Source organism: Homo sapiens, chromosome 18 (genome assembly GCF_000001405.40).
Source record: "Homo sapiens chromosome 18, GRCh38.p14 Primary Assembly".
Taxonomy (NCBI): Eukaryota; Metazoa; Chordata; class Mammalia; order Primates; family Hominidae; genus Homo; species Homo sapiens.
The window spans coordinates 7427331-7430380 of NC_000018.10; the positions used below are offsets into that span (position 1 = coordinate 7427331).

The 3050-nt window shown below is 44.5% G+C and overlaps 1 annotated feature.

Annotated features, from left to right (window-relative positions):
* Nucleotides 2358-2592: a silencer, noted in NCBI's record as "fragment chr18:7429686-7429920 (GRCh37/hg19 assembly coordinates)". NCBI's record gives its function as "represses an EF-1alpha promoter that drives an FKBP-Casp9 reporter gene in an ReSE screen in K562 erythroleukemia cells {active_cell/tissue: K562}" and the evidence as "EXISTENCE:reporter gene assay evidence [ECO:0000049][PMID:32094911]".

Sequence of the window (3050 nt, forward strand, 5' to 3'; positions counted from 1 at the left end):
AAGAAACATTTGAAGTGACAAACTTGGGAGGAAATTATCCTCTTTAGGGTCTAATATGTAAAATGCCAATGTTGCACGTGTATGTGTGTGTGTGTACATGTCTGTGTATGTGTGTGTGTCTCTGTGATTGTGAGTTTGAGGGTCTTATCTAGGCAAATGTGGCTACTAAGTCTTTTACTTGACTAACTTTCAGAATCAGCTGATCAATCACAAATGATCTGTTGGGAACCTCTGAGCAAAATATTTGCTATTAATTATACATACTTAACATTTACTAAAACTCTCAAGCTAACTGCATTTAATTTTAGAGAAACAAATGTAGCTAAATTCCTACCAATGAATTGAATAATGGTTGAGTGTGTGTCTCTGTGGCCCACCCCAACGTGGAGCCGGCTGGGGACATGGCCACACCATGCCCTGACCATTTTCAGCTTAGAATGCAGTTCACTCACAGAGTATTCACAGGTTCACAAAACACAGTGCCAGAGGCCCTCCAAGCATCCAGAATGTTGACCTAGCAGAAAAATGAGACTTTGCATAAAACAAGAACATAGACGGTCCCTGCTGGAGAGGGACAGGCAGCGTTGGAGGACACAGATGAGGGTAGTAAGGAAAGCAAGGAATCAACATTTTGCAGTGCATACTCAAGAAGCCAGATCTTCAGGAAGCCAGACACGGAGCCGAGGGAGATTGGGAAACGTATAAGCTTACACAAAGCATGAGGGCACTAAGACAAGGAAGGGGCCACTTCCAAGGTAGAGTTTCGTGGAGCCGAGGTGCCTTGGGCACACAGAAGCATGGGGGAACTTAGGTGGGACCACAGAAGTGACCCCGAAGTCCCAGAAACCTTACAACCCCTCCCTGAGATGTCTCCACAGAAGCAGGACTCCAAGGAACTCAGTTTGAAATCCTCTCTGAAAGTTCCTTCTGGCTGTCTGCACACCGGTGAAAATTTAAATATTACTCTCTAACTGTTCGATATAGTTCTTAAGTATCTTAAAAGGAACAACATCTAAATGAATGAATAGTATGGCCCTTTCTATCTCTCATGCCTTTCCATAAAATATAAAAACCTAGGCTTGATTGACTCACCTGGTTGTCTGCCTAATGGCTATCAAAACACAAGCCAGATGATAAAAACCAAATACTGTTTAGACTTTGCATCTTGGAGGCAGTAAAATAAAAATATTTTGTGTGCTCACAGATTTTAAACTTATTTTCATAGCCTTCGTAGTATTACTTCCATACGTAATCGTTATCACCATGGTAAACAACTCCTACATTTGGCGTCTCCCTTAATCCTCCAGTGGCTGTCTGAGGAAGGTCACGGCACGTTTCCCATGTCACAGATGCTGAGTGTGAGGCACTGGAGAGTGGAGTCACTTGCTCCAGGGCTGCAGCTGGAAGGGGCTGGAGTTGAACACTGAGGTCCTCTGACCCTGCTGCCTGGGACCATCTTGCTGCCCCATCCCACTCCTTGGGTCACAGTCTTATTTCTCAAGTTCAAAAGTGTTTCCTGAGTTCAGAAATCTTTAACCTAGACAAGCAAACATTGTTTACAACAAATCTCTTGTTGAGCTGACTTCCGCCCAAAATCATGAGAGCTTTAAGATAAGAAGAGGCCATTTCCAAGATAGTTTGTTATGGGGCCTGAGGTGTTTGGGGCACACAGAAGGATGGGGAAACAGATGGAAACACAGCAGTGACACTGAAGTCCCAGAGACCCAACAGCCCTCCCTGAGACGTCTCCACATGACCAGGACTCAAAGGAACCCAGTTTGAAATGCCCCCGCTTAGATTCTCTCTGACAGTTGTTTCTGGCTGTTACTGTATTTTATAAGTAGTATTATCTGATTATTAAATATAGTTCTTAAATACGTTAAAATGTAAAAAGAAACAGCATCTAAGTGAATGACATGGCCCTTTCCACCTCTCATGTTTTCCTGTAAAGCGTGTAGATTAAGCTTGACTGACTCACTTGGTTATTTGCCTAATGGTGATCAAAATTCAAGCCAGAAGATTAAAAACCAACTATTCATTAGTGTTTTGCATCTTGGAAGCAGTAAAACCAAAAGATTCTATGGAGTCACGGATTTCTCCTAGAGTCGTATTTTTCAACAAATGAGAACCATAACCTTCCGATGTTTGGGGCCCACTGGATAAATAAATGATGGATCTTCAAGAACATTTACACGATGCCTACCACGTACCACATGCTGTTTTAGAGTCTGGGTCTACAAGGATGATTTACTTCCGCCCTTGAAGAATTTAGCTGAGGAGACCGTGGCTGAACAGGCCAGGTGATGTCAGCACGACATAGCAGGTGCTATGGTAAGGTGCTCTGGGCTCATAAAAGGAAATGCCAAGCCCACATGATGAGAGGACGAGAGGGGGAAACTAGTGGAAGGTTTTCTGAGGAGGTGACACTTGTCTGGAGTATAGGCAGGAATAGGTCAGATACAGAAGGAAACACTAGAATGCGGCAGTGTGGGTGAGTCGAGGAGGTTCTAGACCAAGGGAACGCAGTGAACAAAAGGACCCAGGCAGGAAACACCGTGCCCTTTTCCAGGAATTATGAATACATGGATGTTGCTGGAGGTTAAAGGTTTTTCAAATGTCATCTCAAATGTTACTTTTTCAGAGGAGACTTTCCAGACCACCAGGCAGGCTAAATTAAGTTCTCCTCCTATTTGATCTCAGCACTCTGGTGCTTGGCTTCATAGCAGTTACCACTGTTGATGATGATGTGCATATTGCTGTGTGCTGTGTGTTGGTGTAGCTCCCTCCCACTGGACTGAAAAACCTCTGATGGCAGAGACAAGGTCCTTTTTGTGTGCCACTGGAGGCCCGTGCCTGCCTGCCCTGACACCTGCAAACAGCAGGCATTTGCTAAGGACTGAGCAGTACCATGGCTGGAAATGCATTTGAAGAGGTTGGCAGGCAGAAAATGCTTTCAGGCTGTGGGGTTAGCATGAACAAAGGCACAGAGACTGATGCAATGGGAGTTTGAGGGAGAAAAGCAACCTAATCAGGGTGACTTGAATGTGGGG